Source organism: Homo sapiens, chromosome 9 (genome assembly GCF_000001405.40).
Source record: "Homo sapiens chromosome 9, GRCh38.p14 Primary Assembly".
NCBI lineage: Eukaryota > Metazoa > Chordata > Mammalia > Primates > Hominidae > Homo > Homo sapiens.
Genome location: NC_000009.12, coordinates 33,065,482 through 33,091,166, shown reverse-complemented (window position 1 = coordinate 33,091,166; position 25,685 = coordinate 33,065,482). Strand labels below are relative to the sequence as shown.

Below are 25,685 nucleotides of genomic sequence, written 5' to 3'. Positions count from 1 at the left end.
GACATTTGGGTTGATTCCAAGTCTTTGCTATTGTGAATAGTGCTGCAATAAACATACGTGTGCATGTGTCTTTATAGCAGCACGATTTATAATCCCTTGGGTATATACCCAGTAATGGGATGGCTGGGTCAAATGGTATTTCTAGTTCTAGATCCTTGAGGAATCGCCACACTGTCTTCCACAATGGTTGAACTAGTTTACAGTCCCACCAACAGTGTAAAAGCGTTCCTATTTCTCCACATCCTCTCCAGCACCTGTTGTTTCCTGACTTTTTAATGTTCGCCATTCTAACTGGTGTGAGATGGCATCTCGTTGTGGTTTTGATTTGCATTTCTTTGATGGCCAGTGATGATGGGCATTTTTTTGGGTGTCTGTTGGCCGCATAAATGTCTCCTTTTGAGAAGTGTCTGTTCATATCCTTTGTGTAATTTTTGATGGGGTTGTTTGATATTTTCTTGTAAATTTGTTTAAGTTCTTTGTAGATTCTGGATATTAGCCCTTTGTCAGATAGGTAGATTGTAAAAATTTTCTCCCATTCTGTATGTTGCCTGTTCACTCTGATGGTAGTGTCTTTCGCTGTGCAGAAGCTCTTTAGTTTAATTAGATCCCATTTGTCAATTTTGGCTTTTGTTGCCATTGCTTTTGGTGCTTCAGTCATGAAGTCCTTGTCCATGCCTATGGCCTGAATGGTATTGCCTAGGTTTTCTTCTAGGGTTTTTATGGTTTTAGGTCTAACATTTAAGTCTTTAATCCATCTTGAATTAATTTTTGTATAAGGTGTAAGGAAGGGATCCAGTTTCAGCTTTCTACATATGGCTAGCCAGTTTTCCCAGCACCATTTATTAAATAGGGAATCCTGTCCTCATTTCTTGTTTTTGTCAGGTTTGCCAAAGATCAGATAGTTGTAGATATGCAGCATTATTTCTGAGGGCTCTGTTCTGTTCCATTGGTCTATATCTCTGTTTTGGTACCAGTACCGTGCTGTTTTGGTTACTGTAGCCTTGTAGGATAGTTTGAAGTCAGGTAGCGTGATGTCTCCAGCTTTGTTCTTTTGGCTTAGGTTTGACTTGGCAATGCAGGCTCTTTTTTGGTTCCACATGAACTTTAAAGTAGTTTTTTCCAATTCTGTGTGGAAAGTCATTGGTAGCTTGATGGGGATGGCATTGAATCTGTAAATTACCTTGGGCAGTATGGCCATTTTCACGATATTGATGAGCATGGAATGTTCTTCCATTTGTTTGTGTCCTCTTTTATTCCGTTGAGCAGTGGTTTGTAGTTCTCCTTGAAGAGGTCCTTCACATCCCTTATAAGTTGGATTCCTAGGTCTTTTATTCTCTTTGAAGCAATTGTGAATGGGAGCTAACTCATGATTTGGCTCTCTGTTTGTCTGTTATTGGTGTATAGGAATGCTTGTGGTTTTTGCACATTGATTTTGTATCCTGAGACTTTGCTGAAGTTGCTGATCAGCTTAAGGAGATTTGGGGCTGAGACGATGGGGTTTTCTAAATATACAATCATGTCATCTGCAAACAGGGAAAATTTGACTTCCCCTTTTCCTAATCGAATACCCTTTATTTCTTTCTCCTGCGTGATTGTCCTGGCCAGAACTTCCAACACTAGGTTGAATAGGAGTGGTGAGAGAGGGCATCCCTGTCTAGTGCCAGTTTTCAAAGGGAATGCTTCCAGTTTTTGCCCATTCAGTATGATATTGGCTGTGGGTTTGTCATAAATAGCTCTTATTAACTTGAGATACGTCCCATCAATACCTAATTTATTGAGAGTTTTTAGCATGAAGGGCTGTTGAATTTTGTTGAAGGCCTTTTCTGCATCTATGGAAATAATCATGTGGTTTTTGTCTTCGGTTCTGTTTATATGCTGGATTACGTTTATTGATTTGCATATATTGAACCAGCCTTGTATCCCAGGGATGAAGCCCACTTGATCGTAGTGGATAACATTTTGATGTGCTGGTGGATTCAGTTTGCCAGTATTTTATTGAGGATTTTCGCATTGATGTTCATCAGAGATATTGGTCTAAAATTCTCTTTTTTTGTTGTGTCTCTGCAAGGCTTTTGTATCAGGATGATGCTGGCCTCATAAAATGAGTTAGGGAGGATTCCCTCTTTTTCTGTTGATCGGAATAGTTTCAGAAGGAGTGGTACCAGCTCCTCTTTGTACCTCTGGTAGAATTCGGCTGTGAATCTGTCTGGTCCTGGACTTTTTTTGGTTGGTAAGCTATTAATTATTGCCTCAATTTCAGAGCCTGTTATTGGTCTATTCAGGGATTCAACTTCTTCCTGGTTTAGTCTTGGGAGGGTGTATGTGTCCAGGAATTTGTCCATTTCTTCTAGATTTTCTAGTTTATTTGCATAGAGGTGTTTATAGTATTCTCTGATGGTAGTTTGTATTTCTGTGGGATCGGTGGTGATATCCCCTTTATCATTTTTTACTGCATCTATTTGATTCTTCTCTCTTTTCTTTATTAGTCTTGCTAGCGGTCTATAAATTTTGTTGATCTTTTCAAAAAACCACCTCCTCTATTCATTGATTTTTTGAAGGGTTTTTTGTGTCTCTATCTCCTTCAGTTCTGCTCTGATCTTAGTTATTTCTTGCCTTCTGCTAGCTTTTGAATGTGTTTGCTCTTGCTTCTCTAGTTCTTTGAATTGTGATGTTAGGGTGTCAATTTTAGATCTTTCCTGCTTTCTCTTGTGGGCATTTAGTGCTATAAATTTCCCTCTACACACTGCTTTAAATGTGTCCCGGAGATTCTGGTATGTTGGGTCTTTGTTCTCATTGGTTTCAAAGAACATCTTTATTTCTGCCTTCATTTTGTTATGTACCCAGTAGTCATTCAGGAGCAGGTTGTTCAGTTTCCATGTAGTTGAGTGGTTTTGAGTGAGTTTCTTAATCCTGAGTTCTGGTTTGATTGCACTGTGGTCTGAGAGACAGTTTGTTGTGATTTCTGTCCTTTTACATTTGCTGAGGAGTGCTTTACTTCCAACTATGTGGTCACTTTTGGAATAAGTGCAATGTGGTGCTGAGAAGAATGTATATTCTGTTGATTTGGGGTGGAGAGTTCTGTAGATGTCTATTAGGTCCGCTTGGTGCAGAGCTGAATTCAATTCCTGGATATCCTTGTTAACTTTCTGTCTCGTTGATCTGTCTAATGTTGACAGTGGGGTGTTAAAGTCTCCCATTATTATTGTGTGGGAGTCTAAGTCTCTTTGTAGGTCTCTAAGGACTTGCTTTATGAATCTGGGTGCTCCTGTATTGGGTGCATATATATTTAGGATAGTTAGCTCTTCTTGTTGAATTGATCCCTTTACCATTATGTAATGGCCTTCTTTTTCTCTTTTGATCTTTGTTGGTCTAAAGTCCATTTTATCAGAGACTAGGATTGCAACCCATGCTTTTTTTTTTGTTTTCCATTTGCTTGGTAGATCTTCCTCCATCCCTTTATTTTGAGCCTATGTGTGTCTCTGCACATGAGATAGGTCTCCTCAATACAGTACACTGATGGGTCTTGACTCTTTATCCAATTTGCCAGTCTGTGTCTTTTAATTGGAACATTTAGTCCATTTACATTAAAAGTTAATATTGTTATGTGTGAATTTGATCCTGCCATTATGATGTTAGCTGGTTATTTTGCTCGTTAGTTGATGCAGTTTCTTCCTAGCATCGATGATCTTTACAATTTGGCATGTTTTTGCAGTGGCTGGTACTGGTTGTTCCTTTGCATGTTTAGTGCTTCCTTCAGGAGCTCTTTTAGGGCAGGCCTGGTGGTGACAAAAATCTCTCAGCATTTGCTTGTCTGTAAAGGATTTTATTTCTCCTTCATTTATGAAGCTTAGTTTGGCTGGATATGAAATTCTGGGCTGAAAATTCTTCTCTTTAAGAATGTTGAATATTGGCCCCCACTCTCTTCTGGCTTTTAGAATATCTGCCAAGAGATCCACTGTTAGTCTGATGGGCTTCCCTTTGTGGGTAACCCGACCTTTCTCTCCGGCTGCCCTTAATATTTTTTCCTTCATTTCAACTTTGGTGAATCTGACAATTAGGTGTCTTGGAGTTGCTCTTCTCGAGGAGTATCTTTGTGGCGTTCTCTGTATTTCCTGAATTTGAATGTTGGCCTGCCTTGCTAGGTTGGGGAATTTCTCCTGGATAATATCCTGCAGAGTGTTTTCCAGCTTGGTTCCATTCTCCCCGTCACTTTCAGGTACACCAATCAGACATAGATTTGGTCTTTTCACATAGTCCCATATTTCTTGGAGGCTTTGTTTCTTTTTACTCTTTTTTCTCTAAACTTCTCTTCTTGCTTCATTTCATTCATTTGATCTTCAGTCACTGATACCCTTTCTTCCAGTTGATCGAATCGGCTACTGAAGCTTGTGCATGCGTCACGTAGTTCTTGTGCCATGGTTTTCAGTCCATCAGGTCATTTAAGGTCTTCTTTGCACTGTTTATTCTAGTTAGCCATTCATCTAATCTTTCTTCAAGGTTTTTAGCTCCTTTGTGATGAGTTTGAACTTCCTCCTTTAGCTCAGAGAAGTTTGTTATTACCGATTGTCTGAAGCCTTCTTCTCTCAACTCATCAAAGTCATTCCCCGTCCAGCTTTGTTCCGTTGCTGGTGAGGAGCTGTGTTACTTTGGAGGAGAAGATGTGCTCTGATTTTTAGAATTTTCAGCTTTTCTGCTCTGGTTTCTCCCCATCTTTGTGGTTTTATCTACCTTTGGTCTTTGATGGTGGTGATGTACAGATGGGGTTTTGGTGTGAATGTCCTTTCTGTTTGTTAGTTTTCCTTCTAATAGTCAGGACCCTCAGCTGCAGGTCTGTTGGAGTTTGCTGGAGGTCCACTCCAGACCCTGTTTGCCTGGGTATCACTAGCAGAGGCTGCAGAACAGCAAATATTGCAGAACGGCAAATGTTGCTGCCTAATCCTTCCTCTGGAAGGTTCGTCTCAGAGGGGCACCCGGCTGTACGACGTGTCAGTCTGCCCCTACTTGGAGGTATCTCCCAGTTAGGCTACTCGGGGGTCACAGACCCACTTGAGGAGGCAGTCTGTCCGTTCTTAGATCTCAAACTCTGTGCTGGGAGAACCACTACTCTCTTCAAAGCTGTCAGACAGGGACGTTTAAGTCTGCAGAAGTTTCTCCTGCCTTTTGTTCAGCTATGCCCTGCTCCCAGAGGTGGAGTCTACAGAGGCAGGCAGGCCTCCTTGAGCTGCGGTGGGCTCCACCCAGTTCGAACTTCCCAGCTGCTTTGTTTACCTAGTCAAGCCTCAGCAATGGCAGATGCCCCTCCCCCAGCCTCACTGCTGCCTTGCAGTTTGATCTCAGACTGCTGTGCTAGCAGTGAGTGAGGCTCTGTGGGCCTGGGACCCCCCCGAGCCACGCGCGGGATATAATCTCCTGGTGTGCCATTTACTAAGGCCATTGGAAAAGTATAGTATTAGGGTGGGAGTGTCCCGATTTTCCAGGTACCATCTGTCACGGCTTCCCTTGGCTAGGAAAGGGAATTCCCTGACCCCTTGTGCTTCCTGGGTGAGACAACACCCCACCTTGCTTTGGCTCACACTCTGTGGACTGCACCCACTGTCCAACAAGCCCCAGTGAGATGAACCTGGTACCTCAGTTGGAAATGCAGAAATCACCGTCTTCTGCGTCACTAACGCTGGGAGCTGTAGACTGGAGCTGTTCCTATTAGGCCATCTTGGAACCAGGAGCCCTTTTTTTTTTTTTTTTTTTTTTTTGAGACGGAGTTTTGCTCTTATAGCCCAGCCTGGAGTGCAACAGTGCAATCTCGGCTCACTGCAATCTCCACCTCCCAGGTTCAAGTGATTCTCCTGCCTCAGCCTCCTGAGTAGCTGGGATTACAGGTGCCTGCTACGACACCGGCTAATTTTTGTTTTTTATTTTTTTGAGATGGAGTCTCACTTTGTAGCCCAGGCTGGAGTGCAGTGGCGTGATCTTGGCTCACTGCAAGCTCTGCCTCCTGGGTTCATGCCATTCTCCTGCCTCAGCCTCCCGAGTAGCTGGGACTACAGGCACCCACACCACGCCCGGCTAATTTTTTGTATTTTTAGTAGAGACGGGGTTTCACCGTGTTAGCCAGGATGGTCTCAATCTCCTGACCTTGTGATCCACCCGCCTTGGCCTCCCAAAGTGCTGGGATTACAGGGGTAAGCCACCATGCCCAGCCCAGGGCTTCTTATTTTGGCTAGCCCTAAACTTCAATAACTGTCCTCCTGTTTAAAAAAGCCATCTTCCTCTGGTCATTCATTCGAGCATGGACAAATTCCCTCCAGGTAAAAAGTAGTCCCAAACACCAATTTATTATCTCTTCTATGCCTATAAGCAGATTTGTTTCTTATTTTCCAGTTGTCCTCATGAGGGGGCTGGACCAAATTGCAAGAAGTGAAACTCTGTTTAACCTGCTGAGTCTCCATTTCCTCTAGATGAAGAACTAGGTAAGCCTCTTGGATTTGGCAACAGGAAAATCATCAGTGACTTTGACATGAGAAGACCTCAGGGAATAGTAGAGATGAAAGTCAGATTGGAATAGGGTGGGCGTGAACAGATTGAGGGAGTACAAACAGCATTTTGGGGGCAACTCTTTCTAGAAGTTTGGCTATGAAGGAAAGCAAAGAAATGAGGTGGAGTATGAAGAGAAATGATATAGGTCAAGGAAGAATTTTAAGAGTGAGAGAGACCAGATCATGTTTGTATGCTGATGGGAACGCCTATGCTGATGCATGTATTTCCCATCCTCATGACAGGTATGTTTCTCACAGTAAATTAACAAGCTGGCTTTCTATGTCTGCCTTACTACTGTTTTAATTAGCATGAGTCAGAGCCCAGGGTCTCAGCTCTAATCAGCTTTTTTTATTCACCATCGCCCAGGCTGGACTGCAGTGGCATGATCTTGGTTTGCTGCAACCTCTGCCTCCCAGGTTCAAGCAATTCTCCTGCCTCAGCCTCCCGAGTAGTTGGGATTACAAGCGCCTGCCACCACACCCGGCTGATTTTTGTATTATTAGTAGAGATGGGGTTTCACCATGTTGGCTAGGCTGGTCTCGAACTCCTGACCTCATGTGATCCACCCGCCTCAGCCACCCTAAGTGCTGGGGTTATAAGCGTGAACCACCACGCCTGGCCTAAACAGCCTTTCTTATCACATCCACAGTCACTTCCATTTCTTTCTCTTTTCACTCCTACCTCATCCTCAGCCCCAGAGCAAGCCCCCACCCAACTCTCACATGATCGGATGCTCCTGACTGAGCTTCCTGCCATCAGGACCATCAGTTTCCAGCCCCCTTTTCATGAAGCTACCAGAGCCATTCACATTTATTGTGTGTCAGGCACTGTTCCATGTGTTGGGCACTCAAACGTGGAAATTTAAACATGTCACCCCCCTACTTAGTCATACCTCTTGCTCCCCAACCCCATTTTCTTTTTCTTTTAATTATTATTATACTTTAAGTTCTAGGGTACACGTGCACAACGTGCAGGTTTGTTACATATGTATACATGTGCCATGTTGGTGTGCTGCACCCATTAACTCATCATTTACATTAGGTATTTCTCCTAATGCTATCCCTCTCCCCTCCCCTCACCCCACGACAGGCCCTGGTGTGTGATGTTCCCCACCTCATGTCCAAGTGTTCTCATTGTTCAATTCCCACCTATGAGTGAGAACATACGGTGTTTGGTTTTCTGTCCTTGCGATAGTTTGCTCAGAATGATGCCCAACCCCATTTTCTAACCTATCTCTCCAACCTCACCCTCCTCACCCTTGGTTTCGCCTCCGCAGCAGGCTGCTACATGAGGTAAGGCTGGCCTGTGTGGGAAAGAGATGCTTGGGTTGCAGACGGTGGGGGCTCTGAGCATCAGAGCTTGAATGTTTGGTCTGGGCCAGCTGGCCCAGTGGCACTCAGTGCCTGGGCAGCCTCTGTTTTCCTTGGCTGAGATCCCCTGGGGCACCATTTGAGCCAGAACTACAGTTCCAGGAGATGAAGGTAGGACAGGCATCCTGGACTGGTGAGCCAGGGCTGGGCTGTGCCAGGGCCTTTGTTTCTAACTTGGTAGAGGCTTTGTGCTTCTGTCCTTTTTCTAAGAACTGTGGATGTGCCACGTGGGCACCACAGTGACCAGAGTCAACAAGAAAAACAATACCCGGGGGAAAATCTTACTTCCTTAAGCCACAGGATTGTGGGGGTGTGTGTCTTTGTGTGCGTCAAAGTTTCCATGTCTGCCACATTATTTTATGTGTTTCTGTATATGCATGTCTTACCTGTGTATGTGCACATGCCTATATGTGTATTTCTTACCTGTTCCTGTGTGTGTATCTTTAGTGACCACAGGGTGGGGTCGCCGAAAGCCACATTTTATCAAAGTACTTCTCTTCTCACTATACATGATAGGAAGGAAGAAAGAAAGGGGAACTGTGAGCTTGCCAGACACCCCCAAAACTGTTCATTGCAATTAGAGAATGGAGGATCCCAGACGGCTCCAAGGGTAGGGATAAAATGGGGAACGAGGCTGGAACCCTCCCCTCTGTCTTGTGAAAGATCAAGCATCCCAGGCATACAAATTTAAGACTTATTCTGTGCCCTAGAGTCCCTGGAAAGTAGAAAAGCAGTCTGAGTAGGGAGATGAGAGATGCTATTTTAGAAAAAGGACAACAGTGGGAAAGCACTTTCCCTGTGGGGAAAGTGCAGGTAGCTGCTGGCACTCTTGCGGCCTGGCCCTGTGTATTCTGTTTGTACAGATCCCAGATCAAAGGTGTGCTAAGGGAAGCCTCTGGAACCACAAATGCTAACAAGTCGTGGTGTGGGAAACAGGTCCCCATTTGAGCGCCAGCCTTGAGGGAGGAACCCTTTCTGTGTAAATAAAGGAGATGCTGGCTACACACACCGTAGCAGCTTTGCATCACGGAGGCTGAACTGGCCAATGAGACATGGACAGGGATTTCAGGGGTCCAGACAAAGTGGACTACTGGAGACCAGCCAGCTTCCAGCTGGTGGAGCATGAGCAGGGTACAAGCCCATCTGTGACAGCAGTATCACACTAAAGAGAGGAGTTCCTCACTCCAAAACAGACCAGTTTTAGACTTTATTTTGACTTATAGTATTTATTTTCTTATTGTGGTAAGAAGCATAAATAATAGAAGGGCTTTGACATCTTAATATATAATAATAGGCCAGGTATGATGGCTCACACCTGCAATCCCAACACTTTGGGAAGCCGAGGAGGGAGAATGGCTTGAGGCCAGAAGTTCAAGACCAGCCTGGGCAACATAGCAAGACGCTATCTCTACAACAACAACAACGACAACAACAACAACAATAACAACAAACTCTTACTTAGTGCTCGCTACATGCCAGGCACTGTTGTGTTTTGTATGAATTAACTCATTTAACTCTCATAACTTAAAATTCATGTTCTGCAAAAAGCACATAGAATTATGTGATTTTTTTCTCTGCTTTGCCTTATTATATCCTGTTAGAAGAAACTGGTCTAGTTTAATAGAAAATAAAACGAACCTTTTGCCCCATTTTGGCACTCAAATATTGACTTTCCCTTCTACAGTACTTCCTTTATCCGCAGGACCAAGAATCTCTCTCCCCTCCACCTCTTTTCCTTAACCAGTTAGACATTTGGAGGCTAGGTTTACAATGGTAGTTTTTCTGTGACTGTCCTGCCCTCTGCTGGATTCAAGAGATAGATTGCTGATACATGGACTTATGGGAGGGGGCCCATTTACCGGAAAGCAGGGCGGATCAGGAGACCGGATTTCCCTCGGGGTTACTTTTGTTCACTAGAAATTTGGTCTAGGAGGTTGTGATCCAGCCTGTGAGTATGCGGTGGAAAGATTCTTGGTGAATACAACTGCCTGGTTTAGAGTTTAGAAGTTGTCTGTGTGTGTGCCTGCTTGTTTCTTTATTTATATATGGATGGAGAGATGTGAGAGACCTCATTTGTCTAGTGTTAAAAACAAAATTTCTATACAAATTGATCTTTAGGAATTGGCAAAATTTATCAACTTGTGAACAAGAGATCAGCAAGGTGACAAAAGCTATACTTTTGGGTATGGGAAAAGCATGGAAATGGATGGATTGTTGGAATACAGAATACTTACATAAGCAACCAGTTCAGGAAGGAAAAAAATCCTCCCCAACTAGGTAAAGATTGTAATTTCTTATACATGGTAACAAAAACATCATATTCCACTTTTTTATTACAGAATAAACATGAATGAGGAGGGTTTGCAATGCCAGCAGCATCGACTGTCAATCAGGGGTTAAAAATCCAATATATCGAAGAAGCAAAGGATAGGTATACCTCTGTGGCTGCTTGCTAGTCATGATAAAGTTTCATTTCTCAAGAATGGTGCCCATGATCACATTGACGTGAATGCATAAACCACGGGCACAGCAGCAAATAACAAGTTCTGACTTGAAACAGGCTACTTGGCACCAGGGATTATGTCAAGCAGCATGTGATGCAGACAGAGTATAGTTTACACTCCCCACCCTCCACTGCCCCACGTTTTCTTTCTTTCTTTTTTATTTTTATTTTTATTTTTTGAGACGGAGTCTCACTGTGTCACCCAGGCTAAAGTGCAATGGTGCAATCTCGTCTCAGGCCAACCTCCGCCTTCCGGGCTCAAGCGAATCTCTTCCCTTAGCCTCCTGAGTAGCTGGGATTACAGGCATGTGCCACCATGCCCAGCTAATTTTTGTATTTTTGGTAGAGATGGGGGGGTTTCACTATGTTGGCCAGGCTGGTCTCGAACTCCTGACCTCAGATGATCCACCCACCTTGGCCTCCCAAAGTGCTGGGATTACAGGCGTGAGCCACCATGCCTAGCCTATTTTAATTTTATTATTATTATTATTTTCTTTAGAGACAGGGTCTCACTTTGTCTCCCAGGCTGGAGCGCAGTGGTGCGATCATGGCTCACTGCAGCCTCAAACTCCTGGGCTCAAGCCAATCCTCCCGCCTCAGCCTCCCAAGTTGCTGGAACTACGGGCGTGTGCCACCATGCCAGGCTAATTTTTCTGTGAAGAAGGGGTCTCTTGCTATGTTGTCCAGCCTTGTCTTGAGCTCCTGGTCTCAAGCAATTTTCCCACCTTGGCTTCCCAAAGTACAGGGATTATAGGTGTGAGCCACCACACCTGGCCAATCAATATGTGCTATTTTTTAGAGAAAAATTAATCAATTTAATTGTACCTGTAATTGACTGAATAAAAGGAAACTGAAGTGAAACCAAAAGAATTGTTGAACTTATGTAAATGTTTCTTTATCACAAAATATATTATTTTCTAAAAGATCTTTCCAAGGTTAAAAAAGGAGAGTAAGAAAAGTATTAAGGGATTGGAGTTATTATTTTGGAGCAATGACTAATAGGCATCTCTTTAACATGTTCTCAATACTATTAGGCTCAAGGACCTCCAAATCTCTTGTAACATCCCTTTTAGTGTTCTGAAATTCATAAGTAATATAATCTACTTACACATTGGGAGGCCAAGGCGGGCGGATCACTTGAGGTCAGGTGTTCGAGACCAGCCTGGCCAACATGGCGAAACCCGTCTCTACTAAAAATACAAAAATTTGCTGGGCATGGTGGTGCGTGCCTGTAATCACAGCTACTTGGGAAGCTGAGGCAGAAGAATCACTGGAACCCAGGAGGCAGAGGTTGCAGTGAGCTGAGATGGTGCCACTGCACTCCAGCCTAGGCAACAGAGTGAGACTCTGTCTTAAAAAAGAAAGAAAAATCTACTTACGCAGATAATGAAAAAATCAATATAATGCTAAATATATAGGAAAAATAAAAATAAATTAATTTGTTATAAAATAGAGTAATATGTAGTTCAATATCAAAATCCTAGGGTGTTACTACAAAAGACATAATGAAGCAATAAGATGCTCACATCTATAAATAATGAACAAGCTTGGATGTAATAGGAGTCATAAGAAGAGAAGCCATTCCATTCAAAATGAAAGCAGAGGTGTGGTGGATATTAGAATAAAACCTGGTGTTAAGTAATCATAGAGAAGATTTATTTGTATAAACAAAATAGAGAAGTAACCTGAATTTAAGAGTAACATGACAAGTACTAGGTAGAGAAAATGAGGACATATGCTATTGTTGCGATGAGCTGGGTCTTCTTTTCAAGGAAGAAGTTATAATAATTTTGTGCTGTTATGGGATAGAATAGTGAAGGAGTATCTCATAAACCATATAACCCATGTTGATATCTCACTACATGTCAAGGCAAGCATGGAGACTCTAAAACATTTGAAACCTTGGAGACCATGTCCTTCAAGAATTGATAGGAAATAGAGGATGATTTGACAAAAGAAGCAGTATTTAAGAGGTTATGGACAAGTTGTATGGCAGACCTTTAGGCACAGAATCAGATAAGACTGAAAGCCATCAGGAAATCTACAAATACATCATTTCAATATGTAATTTCGGAACACAGATTTATTTTATTTATTTATTTATTTATTATTTTTTGGTCACTCGGTCACCCAGGGTGGAGTGCAGTGGTTCGATCTCTCCTCACTGCAACCTCTGCCTCCCGGGTTCAAGGGATTCTCCTGCCTCAGTCTCCCGAGTAGCTGGGATTACAGATGCACACCTATCTGCCTGGCAAATTTTCTTATTTTTAGTAGAGACGGGGTTTCACCATGTTGGCCAGGCTGGTCTCCAACTCCTGAACTCAGGTGATCCACCCGCCTCAGCCTCCCAAAGTGCTGAGATTACAGGCGTGAGCCACCACGCCTGGCCAGATTTATTATTACTGTGCTGCAAATAATTTTTACAATTTATATACAACAGCAATAAAATATTTAAAAATAGGTTTTATGTATGAAGTTCACTGATATCTCTACATTTCATTTGTCACTACAAATGTAATAATGTGTTTGACCTAAAGTCCCGTGACAGGGCGTGGTGGCTCATGCCAGTAATCCCAGCACTTTGGGTGGCTGAGGTGGGAGGATTGCTTGAGCTGGAGGGGTCGAGGCTGCAGTGTGCCACGATCGAGACACTGCACTCCAGCATGGGCAACAAAGCGAGTCCTTGATTCAAAAAAACGCAAAACCAACCAACCAACCAAAATCCTCAATTAACTCTTCCTATAAATTTTGGCTAGTGTTATGTTGGTTTTGAATGTATTAATATCCCATCAGGTATTGCATATTCAGCCTCATCTTAAATCTAATCAACTAATTACATCAAACGAAAGCAACATTGGCTGGGCGCAGTGACTCACGCCTGTAATCCCAGCACTTTGGGAGACCGAGGCGGGCGGATCACGAGGTCAGGAGTTCGAGAACAGCCTGACCAACATAGTGAAATCCCATCTCTACTAAAAATACAAAAAATTAGCCTGGCGTGATGGCAAGAAACCTGTAATCCCAGCTACTCCGGAGGCTGAGGCAAGAGAATCTCCTGAACCCGGGAGGCAGAGTTTGCAGTGAGCCGAGATCGCGCCATTGTGCTCTTCAGCCCGGGCGACAGTGCGAGATTCCGTCTCAAAAAAAAAGCAATCTTTCCAAACCAGTGCTCTTTCTTTTCTTTCTTTTCTTTTCTTTCTTTTCTTCTTTCTTTTCTTTGCTTTTCTTACTACAATCTTATCACCACTACTTTTCTTTTCTTCTTTTGAGACGGAATTTTGCTCTCCTTGCCCAGGCTGGAGTGCAATGGTGTGATCTCGGCTCACCGCATCCACCTCCAGAGGTGAAACGATTCTCCTGCCACAGACTCCCGAGTAGCTGAGATTACAGGCGCCCCCGCCACCACGCCCGGCTAATTTTTTGTATTTTTAGTAGAGACGGGGCTTCACCATGTTGCCCAGGCTGGTCTCGAACTCGCGCGCTGGGAGTACAGGCGCGAGCCACCGCGCTCCGCCCCAGCGCTTTTCTTTTTCAGTACATTTGTGAGCTGTATGGCGCCCGGTGCTTTTTTTCTTTTTCTTTTCTATCTTTCTTTTTTTTTTTTTTTTTTTTTTGAGACGGAGTTGCGCTCTTGTTTTCCATGCTGGGGTGCAATGGCGCGATCTCGGCTCACCGCAACCTCCGCCTCCTGGGTTCAAGCGATTCTCCTGCCTCAGGCTCCCGAGTAGGGATTACAGGCATGCGCCACTACGCCCGGCTAATTTTGTATTTTTAGTAGAGACGGGGGTTTCTCCATGTTGGTCAGGCTGGTCTCGAACTCACGACCTCAGGTGATCGCCCGCCTCGGCCTTCCAAAGTGTTGGGATTACAAGCGTGAGCCACCGCACCCGGCTCCGGCCTGCTTTTAAACAGTCTTCCTCCTGATGCGTATTTCTCTGGGGCAGGGGCATAAACTCCGCCCTCTGACAGCCCCTGAGGGCTCCGCCCCTACGCGAACCTCGCCCCTACTCTTCGTTCACTCTATCTCCAGAGCGGGAGCCAGACGCCGACCCAAGCGGAAGTGACGTTAGGTGTCCGCCGGAGGTGTCGTTGGTGTGTTGCGCGACTGGCCTTGAGGGAGAGCTGGGGCCTGCTCCCGGAGAGATACGGCTATGTCGATCGAAATCGAATCTTCGGAGTGAGTCCTGCGGTGGGGATGTTCGCGCCTTGCCGGGGGCCTGGAGGTTAAGGGTGTGGGGCGGAGGGTACTCGGGAGAAGGCATCCGAGAGGCCAGGGAGTGGAGGGCCATTTCCTTGCCCCCAAAGAAGCATCTTGGATCTCGCTACCTCGGAGGTGGGCCCACAGGAAAGTAGCAGCTCTCAGACGTGAAGCCCAAAACCTCGAGGGAGGTGGCACGGGTGGGGAAAACACACCTTGCAGACCTAAGTTCTGTCCTTGGCCGACTGCTGGCGCGCTGTGATTGACCAAATTAAGGATCCACTCTGGACTCCAGTCTAATTATCTGCGCAAGGGGATAGGTCTCTTTAAGCCTTGCTTCTCTCCCTGTCCAGCTTATGCAATGTGATTCGTTGTCTCTGCTTATACGGCCCCTTTGCTTTTCTCTGCCTAGCGTTTATCACTCAGTATTGTCACTGTTTGATAACCTCACCCCAAACTAGCCTTTGTCGGTGCCTAGGAGCTCCTTTTCCTTGTGGTCTCAGTGTCTAGCATACCTTAGAGGAAGAGTTAATTGCTTTTGGAATGAATGAACAACTAGCTTTTGGAATGAATGAACAACTATCAGGCCCGATCTGGCACGGAATTTTGGGTTGTCTGGGGAGAGACAGACTGGAGACTGGGCTAGAAAGAAAAATTTTCAAGGAATAGGGGATGAGAATTAGTGACTAAAGAAGACCTTAGTGTGCTTTTCCAGAACTCCATCCTCCACCTGTCCTTGCCAACACTTAATAATAATTAAATTAACAGACATAAAAATTGTGTCTGAGTGTAAGGGAGGGAGAGGACCTTTTTTGGAGACTTTTCATAGGAGGAAGGGAGGTTTATGCATTCAGCAAATACTGAAATGATGTTAACCTACTTGTCCAAGGTCACATAACTTTGATTCAAATCCCAGACTATCTTCAAAGCTTCTAGCTCTTTATGTATTCATTTCTGTTTGAAGGTAGGGAATTTGATTTTGGCTATGTCAAATGTGAGCTGTTTGAGGAGAGAGATGACTTATTTTGGGAGTGTAAAATGGAAGTCAACGGACATGTGCTAAGGAAGATAGTATCATAGCAGAATAACAGGGGTCTAAGTCTGGATACCTGCATACCTCATAAAGGGGCCATGAGAGAAAAAGACTACTGCAGGTAGCAGCAATCAGTTCCCTTTTTTTTTTTTGAGACGGAGTCTCACTCTGTCACCCAGGCTGGAATGCAGTGGCGCGATCTCCGCTCACTGCAAGCACCGCCTCCCACGTTCACGCCATTCTCCTGCCTCAGCCTCCCGAGTAGCTGGGACTACAGGCGCCCACCACCATGCCCGGCTAATTTTTTTGTATTTTTAGTAGAGACGGGGTTTCACCGTGTTAGCCAGGATGGTCTCGATCTCCTGACCTTGTGATCTGCCCGCCTCGGCCTTCCAAAGTGGTGAGATTACAGGCGTGAGCCACCGCGGCCGGCCTATAGTTGTTTTTAAGAAGAGGGGCCAGGTGCGGTGGCTCACACCTGTCATCTCAACACTTTGGGAAGCTGAGGTGGATGGATCACTTGAGCCCAGAAGTTTGAGACCAGCATGGTCAACATGGCAAAACCACGTCTCTACAAAAAATACAACAATTAGCCAGTGTGGTGGTGCATGCCTGTGGTCTCAGCTACTCGGGAGGCTGAGGTGAGAGGATCACCTGATCCCAGGAGGCCCAGGCTGCAGTCAGCCACAATCACGCCACTATTCTGTCCAGCCTGAGCGATGCAAGTGACCATTTCTCAAAAAAAAAAAAAAAAAAGAGGATGTTTGCTTTCTCCTCAGGAATACATGCTCTAGAGCCACACTGCCAGTTTGAGTCCTGATTTTTCCACTTATTATCTCTATTATCTGATCAAATCCTCATCTGTAAATTGGGGATAAAAGTAAACTTACCTCATAGGTTTTATTTTATTTATTTTTTTGAGACAAGGTCTTGCTCTCTTTCCCAGGCTAGAGTGCAGTGGCATGATCACGGCTCACTGCAGCCTCAACCTTATGGATACAAGCAATCCTCCCACCCCAGCTTCCCAGGTAGCTGGGACCACAAGCACACACTATCATGCCTAGCTAATTTTTTTTTTTGTGTGTGTGTGTGTGTAGAGAAGGGGTCTTCTTATGTTGCCCATGCTGGTCTTGAACTCATGGGCTCAAGGGATCCTCCCACATCAACATCCCAAGTAGCTGGGACTACAGGCACATGCCACCATGTTTGGCTAATTTAAAAAAAAATTTGTAGAGATGGGGTCTCACAGCTGCCTGATCTGGTCTCAAACCTCCTGGTTTCCAGCCAATCCTCCTGCCTCAGCCTCCCAAATTACTGAGATTACAGTCATGAGCCAGCATGCCCAACCTCATTTAGATTATTTTGTATAAATAACTAGTCTAGTCATTTAAAGTATTTCAGTGAAGTGTGCTACAATATAATTACAAGAATGAATAGGAAACTAGGCTCTGGATTAGGAAATAAGATAGTCACCTTGACACCAACTCCCTTTCTAGCTGACTGAGACATTAGGCAAATGATTTCCTTTCCTTGAACCCCAGTTCTGTCTCTATGGTTAGGGGGGGTCCCCTTATAATTTAGATTCTGTGATTTTGGAAAATTTTACTCACATGATAAAGAAATAGTAGTGAAAGGAAGATGATTGAGTAGGAGCTTGATAGGCTTTATTTTTGACCTCTGGTGAGTGAGAATCCCTGAGCTGAACGATTTGTTTTCTTTCAGTGTGATCCGCCTTATTATGCAGTACTTGAAGGAGAACAGTTTACATCGGGCGTTAGCCACCTTGCAGGAGGAGACTACTGTGTCTCTGAATACTGTGGACAGCATTGAGAGTTTTGTGGCTGACATTAACAGTGGCCATTGGGATACTGTGTTGCAGGCTATACAGTCTCTGAAATTGCCAGACAAAACCCTCATTGACCTCTATGAACAGGTAAGAGTGGTGGTGATGCTGATCCCCATGGGTTGGTTCGTTGTGGGCCAGCTCCCCAACTAAAAAGCGTCAGTGAGCATTCCTTCAAGCACGGTAGGGCTGCATCAGCCCATACAACAATGGCAAGGCTTGACATTGTATTTTTTCTCCCTTCTTGGAAAATCCAGGATTTCCCAAATTAAAATTCTTTCCTTTTTTTGAGACTGGATCTTGTTCTGTTACCCACTCTGGAGTGCAGTGGCAAGATCACAGCTTGCTGCATCCTCCATTTCCAGGATCAATCCTTCCTCCTGCCTCAGCCTCCTGAGTAGCTAGGAACACAGGCACGCACCACCACGCCTGCCTAATTTTTGCATTTTTCTGTAGAGACAGGATCTCACCATAATACCCAGGGTGGTCTCAAACTCCTGGGCTCAAGCAGTTCGCCAGCCTTGACTTTCCAAAGGGCTGGGATTACAGGCACGAGAGAGCCTCAACTTTCTAATCACATAGTTAGTCTTTCTGATAACTAGCTCCTACCTATCCTGAGCCATTTCCTTTGCACAAACCCAGGTGTGATTCAAGGGGCCCAGGAGTAACAAAGATACCCCTATCACTGGTCAAATTCCAAGAAGCTCCAAGCCAAGAACCTAGGACAAAGATCAGACAAATTTGTGATTATAAAACAGCAGAGTAGACTTTCTGGAAATAAGATTGTAATTTGAAGTAAAAGTAGTGAAATTGGTTTTTGGTTTTTGTTTACGGGTTTTTTTTTTTGTTTTTTTTTTGAGACAGAGTCTCACTGTGTTACCCAGGCTGGAGTGCAGTGGTGCGATCTCTGCTCACTGCAACCTCCATCTCCGGGGTTCAAGCGATTCTCCTGCCTCAGCCTCCCGAGTAGCTGGGATTACAGGCGTGCATCACCACGCCCAGCTAAGTTTTGTGTTTAGTAGAGACGGGGTTTCACCACATTGGCCAGGCTGGTCTCCAACTCCTGACCTCAAGTGATCCACCTGCCTCAGCCTCCCAAATGCTGGGATTACAGGTGTGAGCTGCCGTGTCTGGGCAGTTTGTTTCTTTACAATCCGTATGAGTTCAATAATTCCCAAAGAAAATTTTGGTAACTGGAGAAAGGTTTCTCTGGAGCCCATGGGTATATTCCCATCTTTAGCTTTCTTTGGCATCTACATTCTGAGCAAGAAGCCTGAGAGGAGGGGAGATTGGTAGATAAAAATGAAGGATAGAGTTTGAAGGATTGAAATTATTATTTATTTATTTATTGAGACAGATCTCGCTCTGTCGCCCAGGCCAGAGTACAGTAGCATGAGCTTGGCTCACTGCACTCTCCGCCTCTCGGGTTCAAGCAATTCTCCTGCCTCAGCCTCCCAAGTAGCTGGAATTACAGGCATATACCACCACACCCAGCTAATTTTTTTTGTATTTTTAGTAGAGAGTCTGTTTCACCACGTTGGCCAGGCTGGTTTCGAACTGCTGACCTCAAGTGATCCGCCCATCTTGGCCTCCCACAGTGTTAGGATTATAGGCATGAGCCACCAAGCCCACCAAGTCCACCTGAAATTGCTAGTGAAAATGGAAAGGGGCACTTCCTGGTATTGGAAATCCTTTGACAGGCCATATCTGTGTTAGATATTTTACCGAAAAATATTAATAAGACGGTGTGTTGAAACATCTGGGGTTTTTTTTGTTTTTTTTTAATTGTCCAGGTTGTTCTGGAATTGATAGAGCTCCGTGAATTGGGTGCTGCCAGGTCACTTTTGAGACAGACTGATCCCATGATCATGTTAAAACAAACACAGCCAGAGCGATATATTCATCTGGAGAACCTTTTGGCCAGGTCTTACTTTGATCCTCGTGAGGTATGACTGTGGTAATGAAAAGGAACTTTTTGTTAACTTTGGAAATGAAATAACATGATCTTTTTTTTTTTTTTTTACCATTTTATTGTATACTCTTTGTGATTTTGATTTAATTTTTGAGAATGATGCTTCTCTGTTTATATATGTTGGCTGAAATTTGCGTATGTTAAAGAGAATAATTTTGTTCAGTTTTCTGATTATTTGAGTCTTCTATACACCTCAGTTTAGAGGATTGCGTGTTGGTTAGTAAAAAAAGCAGAACATTTTATTCTGATGTCATTTCCACATTAGCCCTCCCCGAAGTGCTGCCTGACTGCTGGTATGTTCACTGATCATTTGTGTGTCTTGCCCCTAACAATTGTAGTTTCCTTCTAGCCTTTTTAGTCCCTAGAAGCTTTTGTTTCTTCGCGGATTATGCTTACCAGTAGAGCATGATGATAGTCTTTTATTCTTCCAAAACGTTATTATCTGTATAGTTTCATTCTTCCTAAACCTTATTATCTGTATGGTTTCATTCTTCCTGCCCACCCCCCCAGCCTTTTACTAGAGGTTTGTCAAAATAGGAGGAAAAAGGATTAAAAAAAATTTTTTATGGGTACATAGTAGGTGTATATATTTATGGGGTACATGAGATATTTTGATATAGGCATGCAGTGCATAATGAGGGTAAATGGAGTATCCATCACCTCAAGCATGTATCCTTTGTGTTACAAACAATTCAATTCTTTCAGTTATTTTAAAATGTATAATTATTATTGGCTATAGTCACCCTGTTGTGCTATCAAATACTATTTCTTATTTATTCTTTATATTTTTTGTATCTATTAACCATCCCCACTTTCCTTCTTACCCCCGCCACCTCCACCCTTCCCAGCCTCTGACAACCATCCTTCTACTCTCTATCTCCATGTTTTAATTTTTAGTTCCTGCAAATAAATGAGAACATGCAAAGTCTGTCTTTCTGTGCCTGGCTTATTTCGCTTACCATAATGAGCTCTAGTTACATGCATGTTGTTGCAAATGACAGGATTTCATTCTTTTATATGTCCAGCTAGTACACCATTGTGTACATGTACCTCATTTTCTTTATTTATCTGTTAATGGTCACTTATCGTTGCTTCCAAATCTTGCCTATTGTGAACACTGCTGTAATAAACATGGGAGTGCAGATATCTCTTTGATATACTGATTTCCTTTTGGGTGTGTACCTAGCAGTGGGATTGCTGGATCATATGGTACCTCCATGTTTAATTTTTTGAGGAATCTCCAAACTATTCTCCATAGTGGTTGTACTAATTTACATTCCCACTAATAGTGTACGAGGGTTCCTTTTTCTCCACTTACTCACCAGCATTTGTTATTTCCTGTCTTTTTGTATAAAAGCCATTTTAACTGGAGTGAGATGATATCTCATTGTAGTTTGATTTGCATTTCTCTAATGATCAGTTGTGTTGAGCACCTTTAAATAAACCTGTTTGCCTTGTGTGTGTCTTTTTTTGAGAAATGTCTATTCAGATCTTTCACCCATTTTTAACATTGGATTATCAGATTTTTTTCCCGTAGAGTTGTTTGAGCTCCTTATATATTCTGGGTTTTGTTGTTGTTGTTGTTGTTGTTTTTGAGACAGAGCTCTGTTACCCAGGCTGGAGTGCAGTGGCGTGATCTCGGCTCACTGCAGCCTCCGCTTCCTGGGTCCAAGTAATTCTCGTGCCTCAGCCACCAAGTAGCTGGGATTACTGGTGTGTGCCACCACACTCAGCTAATTTTTGAGTTTTCAGTAGAGATGGGGTTTCGCCATGTTGGCCAGGTTGGTCTCGAAGTCCTGGCCTCAAGCAGTCCACCCGCCTCGGCCTCCCAAAGTGCTAGGATGACAGGCATGAGCCACCACACTTGGCCCTGTATTCTGGTTATTTATTTATTTGTTTATTTATTTTTCTGAGACAGAGTCTTGCTGTTGTCTCCCCGGCTGGAGTGCAATGGCACGATCTTAGCTCACTGCAACCTCCACCTCCCAGGTTCCAGGAATTCTCCTGCCTCAGCCTCCCGAGTAGCTGAGATTACAGGCACCCACCACTATGGCCTGGCTAGTTTTTCTATTTTTAGTAGCGACAGAGTTTCACCATGTTGGCCAGGCTGGTCACAAACTCCTGACCTCGGGTGATCTGCCAGCCTCAGCCCCCGAAAATGTTGGGATTACAGGCGTGAGCCACCCTGCCCAGCCATATTCTGGTTATTAATCCCTTGTCAGATGGGTAGTTTGCAAGTATTTTCTCAGGAGGAAGAAGAACTTAATAGGCACTGGATAATAGAATGTTAGAGTAAACCTACAAAATCTATGAGGATAAAGGAAAGGATTTTAGATTACCAGGACAGGATTTAACTTAGAGGTGGTGAAGCACTTCTGTGCTGGGAGCCATTTAAGAAATTACTAAAGAGTATAAAAGAATTCTTGGTTCTGCAAATTTTTCAAAAACTGGAAGAACAACTCTGGGTTTAATGTGGTTTACTTGGACTCTTTTCAGAAAAATAGCAGTGTGTCCTTTGGCCAGGAACTCAGTGAAAAAATAATAATAGTGTGGATTGGCTGACCTCAGTTTTCTCCCAACTCATACTTTTGAAATGCAAGCGGGCAGAATTGGGAAGTCATTTTCAAAAACTAAATTAGTTCAACTAATCCCTTCTTTAACTGGGTAATTTCTTTTCACATTTTCCTCTGTGTATGCTTCTGCTTGTTTGTTTTAAATAAGCACACTCATATCTTGTTGTTGCTTCTTGGAAATGATGCTACACCCTCTCCTTTTTCAGGCATACCCAGATGGAAGTAGCAAAGAAAAGAGAAGAGCAGCAATTGCCCAGGCCTTAGCTGGCGAAGTCAGTGTGGTGCCTCCATCTCGTCTCATGGCATTGCTGGGACAGGTAATTCAATTCCTGTAGAGGCCAGGTGTGGTGGCTCACACCTGTCATCCTTGCACTTTGGGAGGCTGAGGCAGGAGAATCACTTGAGCCTAGTAGTTGGAGACCAGCCTAAGCAACATTGTGAGACTCTGTCTCTACAAAAAGTAAAAAAATTAGCGGGTTATGGTGGGGTGTGCCTGTGGTCTCAGTTACTTGGGAGGCTGAGGTGGGACAATCACTGGAGCCCAGAAGATTGAGATGACAGCTATGATCATGCCATTATACTCCAGCTTGGGCAACAGAGTGAGACCCTGTCTCCAAAAATAAAAATAAATTTAAAAAGTGAACTCCTGGTACAATTTCCTAATTTCCTATGTATAAACTATGTCTTAGCTGAAGAAATTGTACACCCTAAGAATTGGGGACTACCTACAGAGTTGCTTATTCCAGTAACTGTGCTGTTCCACTCTCCCTCTTTCCTGGGAGAGGCAATATAGATTAGTGGTTAAGAACAAGCTCTGGAGTCAGTTAGAATTAGGGTTACCATAGAATTTATCATCCTGTCTGGAATATCGTTGAGAGTACAGTTGATCCCTATGCCAGAACACCAAGTGCAAATAGTAACTGTCCTGGAAAGATTGGAACAAATGCCCATCCTAGTTAGAATCCAGGCTTTCTCATTTACCAGCTATATAGTCTTGGCAAATTACTTAACTTTTCTGGTCCCATTTACTCGTCACAGTATTGAGAGTAAGGATTAAGAGAAATAATGTTCATAAACACTTTATACATTTCCTGGCACCTTGTAAATAGTAAATGGTAGCTGCTGGTGATGATTTTTTAAAAAATTACTAATAGTGTTGCCAGCATGGTCATTATTATAAAGCTACTTAGAGTAATAGATATATTATAAATAACAAAGGGCACAAGTGATTAATAGGGATGTTAATAACCTTTTTGCACTAAATCTGCATTTAGAAAAGGACCAAAAAGCTATTTGTTGCAGGCCTGCAGTGACTCTGAGATTCAAAAGTAAGCTGCTTTTTGGCCTGGCGTGGTGGCCCATGCCTGTAATCCCAGCACTTTGGGAGGCCAAGGTGGGTGGATCACCTGAGATCAGGGGCTCGAGATGAGCCTGGCCAACATGGTGAAACCCCGTCTCTACTAAAAATACAAAAATTAGCTGGGCGTGGTGGCAGGAACCTGTAATCTCAGCTACTCGGGAGGCTGAGGCAGGAGAATCACATGAACCCAGGAGGCAGAGGTTGCAGTGAGCCGAGATTGAGCCATTGCACTCCAGCCTGGGAGACAAGAGCGAGACTTCATCTCAAAAAAAAAAAAAAAAAAAGTAAGCTGCTTTTTGATTTCTTAATCAAACTAATAGCAGTGCATCGTTTAAGTAGTACTTCAGGGCTTACAGTGAAAAACAGTCCCATGTGCTTCCCTTCTCCACCTCTGATTCTTAACTTTCCTGACTTAGCTCCATAGCTGAATACCATGTTTATACTGTTATTACCTGATTTTTTTTTTTTTTTTTTTTTTTTTTTGGTCATTAGCAACTAACTTTCTTCAGCGAAAAATGATTTGTCTTATACCCACTCTCCTCAATACACACTTACTCTTCTTCTGGATTTTCAGTAGAGCTGTATCACAACTTTTGGTTCAATCTATATTCAATGTTTACATAGTTATTTTTATATAGCTATTGTTCACAGCTAAAAAATAATTACATGTAATTTCTTACATAAATTTTTATGATTTGCAATAATTATTGCTTATTTTTTCTTTTGCCTAGTTTTCTATGCACTTCTGCTAGTCCAGCCTGAGTATTTCTAGTAGAACCGTCAAAAGTCCTTTTTTTTCCGCTTGCTGATATCTTTCCTGAGGCCCTTCTCTTTTTGTTCCCATCAGGACTAGTTCTCTTGCATTGCTGCACAGTTACTGTACCAGGACTTCTCTCATCTTCATACTGGGAATTTTGGGTCTCTTATTTTTTTGGTAGGTCTTATTTATAGATTCCTCAGTTTTCTTTTTTTTTTTGAGACAGAGTCTCACTCTGTCGCCAGGCTGGAGTGCAGTGGCACGATCTTGGCTCACTGCAACCTCCGCCTTCTGGGTTCGAGCAATTCTCCTGCCTCAGCCTCCCGAGTAGCTGGGACCACAGGTGCCCACCACCATGCCCAGCTAATTTTTGTATTTTTAGTAGAGACGGGGTTTCACCATGTTGGCCAGGATGGTCTCGATCTCTTGACCTCGTGATCTGCCCACCTCGGCCTCCCAAAGTTTTGGGATTACAGGCGTGAGCCACCGCACCCAGCCTTTTTTTTTTTTTTTTTTTTAATTAAATGGAACACAGAGCCTTGCTGTGTTGCCCAGACTATCCTGCCTCTGCCTTCCTAAGTACTGGGATTACAGGTGTAAGCCGCTGAGCCCAGCCTAGACCCTCATTTTGTGGGAGTACTGAGTCCAGTAACTTCCTGAGAAAGGAAGCATAGAAATAAATTTTTGAGATTTTATTTGTGTCTGTAATACCGTGTATCTTTCTTTCTCTTTAAATGTTTAAAGTTTTATTATCCTTCCTGCATTGTCCCTGTATTCCTATTTTTTCTTTTTCTCTGAGTTTTCCCCTTCCCTGTTTGTTTTGCTGACCATATGTGGGAGTTTTCCTCAAATATTTAGAGCTCTCTGCTATGGTATGTCAGGTTGGGTGGTTGGAAAGAGGAGTTTGAGAACTGATAGACTTCAGCCTGGGATGATAGGATGGGGATCCTCATTTGTCATTCTCTGCAGAAATGTTCTCTTGGGCTGGTCAGCTTTTCCAGAGAGTAGTTCCTGCTTGGAGAGTAGTTCTTGCCTAAACCATATCTTGAGAGTGAGAGCTGAGAGGATGCAGGTAGGAGTGGAGGATAGAGAAATCTCACTGTTCAGCATACCAGTGTACACTGAAGCCCCCAGTTTTCATTGTGGCTTCTCACCTCCACCCTGTCCTCAGCTCTACTGAGATTTTCAGAGCCTAGGACCTCAACCTTTCCAGAATATACATCACCTGATTTCTCTTGAGGCTAAGGCGAGGTGGTTGCTCAGGGTTGGGAGAAGTCGTGGTAGCTAAATGCTCCTTATGCAGACTTTAATATTGCCCCTGTTTTCAGCCCTGAAGCATGCCTTGTGCTTGAAGGGTATGTGATTCCTCCAGTTCCTAAGCCTTTTTGGAGTTTTGCAAGGTAGTTTGGCTTGCTTCTTGTGGCTTCCCCTTCTTCACCTTGTACAATTAGGTTTCGGTTTTCTCTGTTTTTGGTTTCCACTAGTCCATTCACTTTTCACCTTCTAAAATTTAACTAACATTTTTTTCTTGCTGTTCTCCCA

General features: G+C 43.6%; 1 protein-coding gene across 2 annotated transcripts in view, besides 3 other annotated features; it reads left to right on the top strand.

Annotated features, from left to right (window-relative positions):
* Window positions 8,470-8,519: an enhancer, noted in NCBI's record as "active region_28271". NCBI's record gives its function as "activates an Ori minimal core promoter by ATAC-STARR-seq in GM12878 lymphoblastoid cells {active_cell/tissue: GM12878}" and the evidence as "EXISTENCE:reporter gene assay evidence [ECO:0000049][PMID:35858748]".
* Window positions 14,112-14,311: an enhancer, noted in NCBI's record as "active region_28270". NCBI's record gives its function as "activates an Ori minimal core promoter by ATAC-STARR-seq in GM12878 lymphoblastoid cells {active_cell/tissue: GM12878}" and the evidence as "EXISTENCE:reporter gene assay evidence [ECO:0000049][PMID:35858748]".
* Window positions 14,482-14,631: an enhancer, noted in NCBI's record as "active region_28269". NCBI's record gives its function as "activates an Ori minimal core promoter by ATAC-STARR-seq in GM12878 lymphoblastoid cells {active_cell/tissue: GM12878}" and the evidence as "EXISTENCE:reporter gene assay evidence [ECO:0000049][PMID:35858748]".
* SMU1 (SMU1 DNA replication regulator and spliceosomal factor) overlaps window positions 14,493-25,685 on the top strand; it is a 34,910-nt gene continuing 23,717 nt past the window's right edge. The window contains exons 1-4 of one of the 2 annotated variants that reach the window (NM_018225.3): window positions 14,493-14,584; window positions 17,361-17,571; window positions 19,275-19,427; window positions 22,233-22,343. In NM_018225.3, coding sequence (NP_060695.2) covers window positions 14,559-14,584; window positions 17,361-17,571; window positions 19,275-19,427; window positions 22,233-22,343 — 501 coding nt within the window. In that variant the 5' untranslated portion in view covers window positions 14,493-14,558. The remainder of the gene's footprint in view (window positions 14,585-17,360; window positions 17,572-19,274; window positions 19,428-22,232; window positions 22,344-25,685) is intronic. The other variant, XM_005251503.6, reaches the window with a different exon arrangement.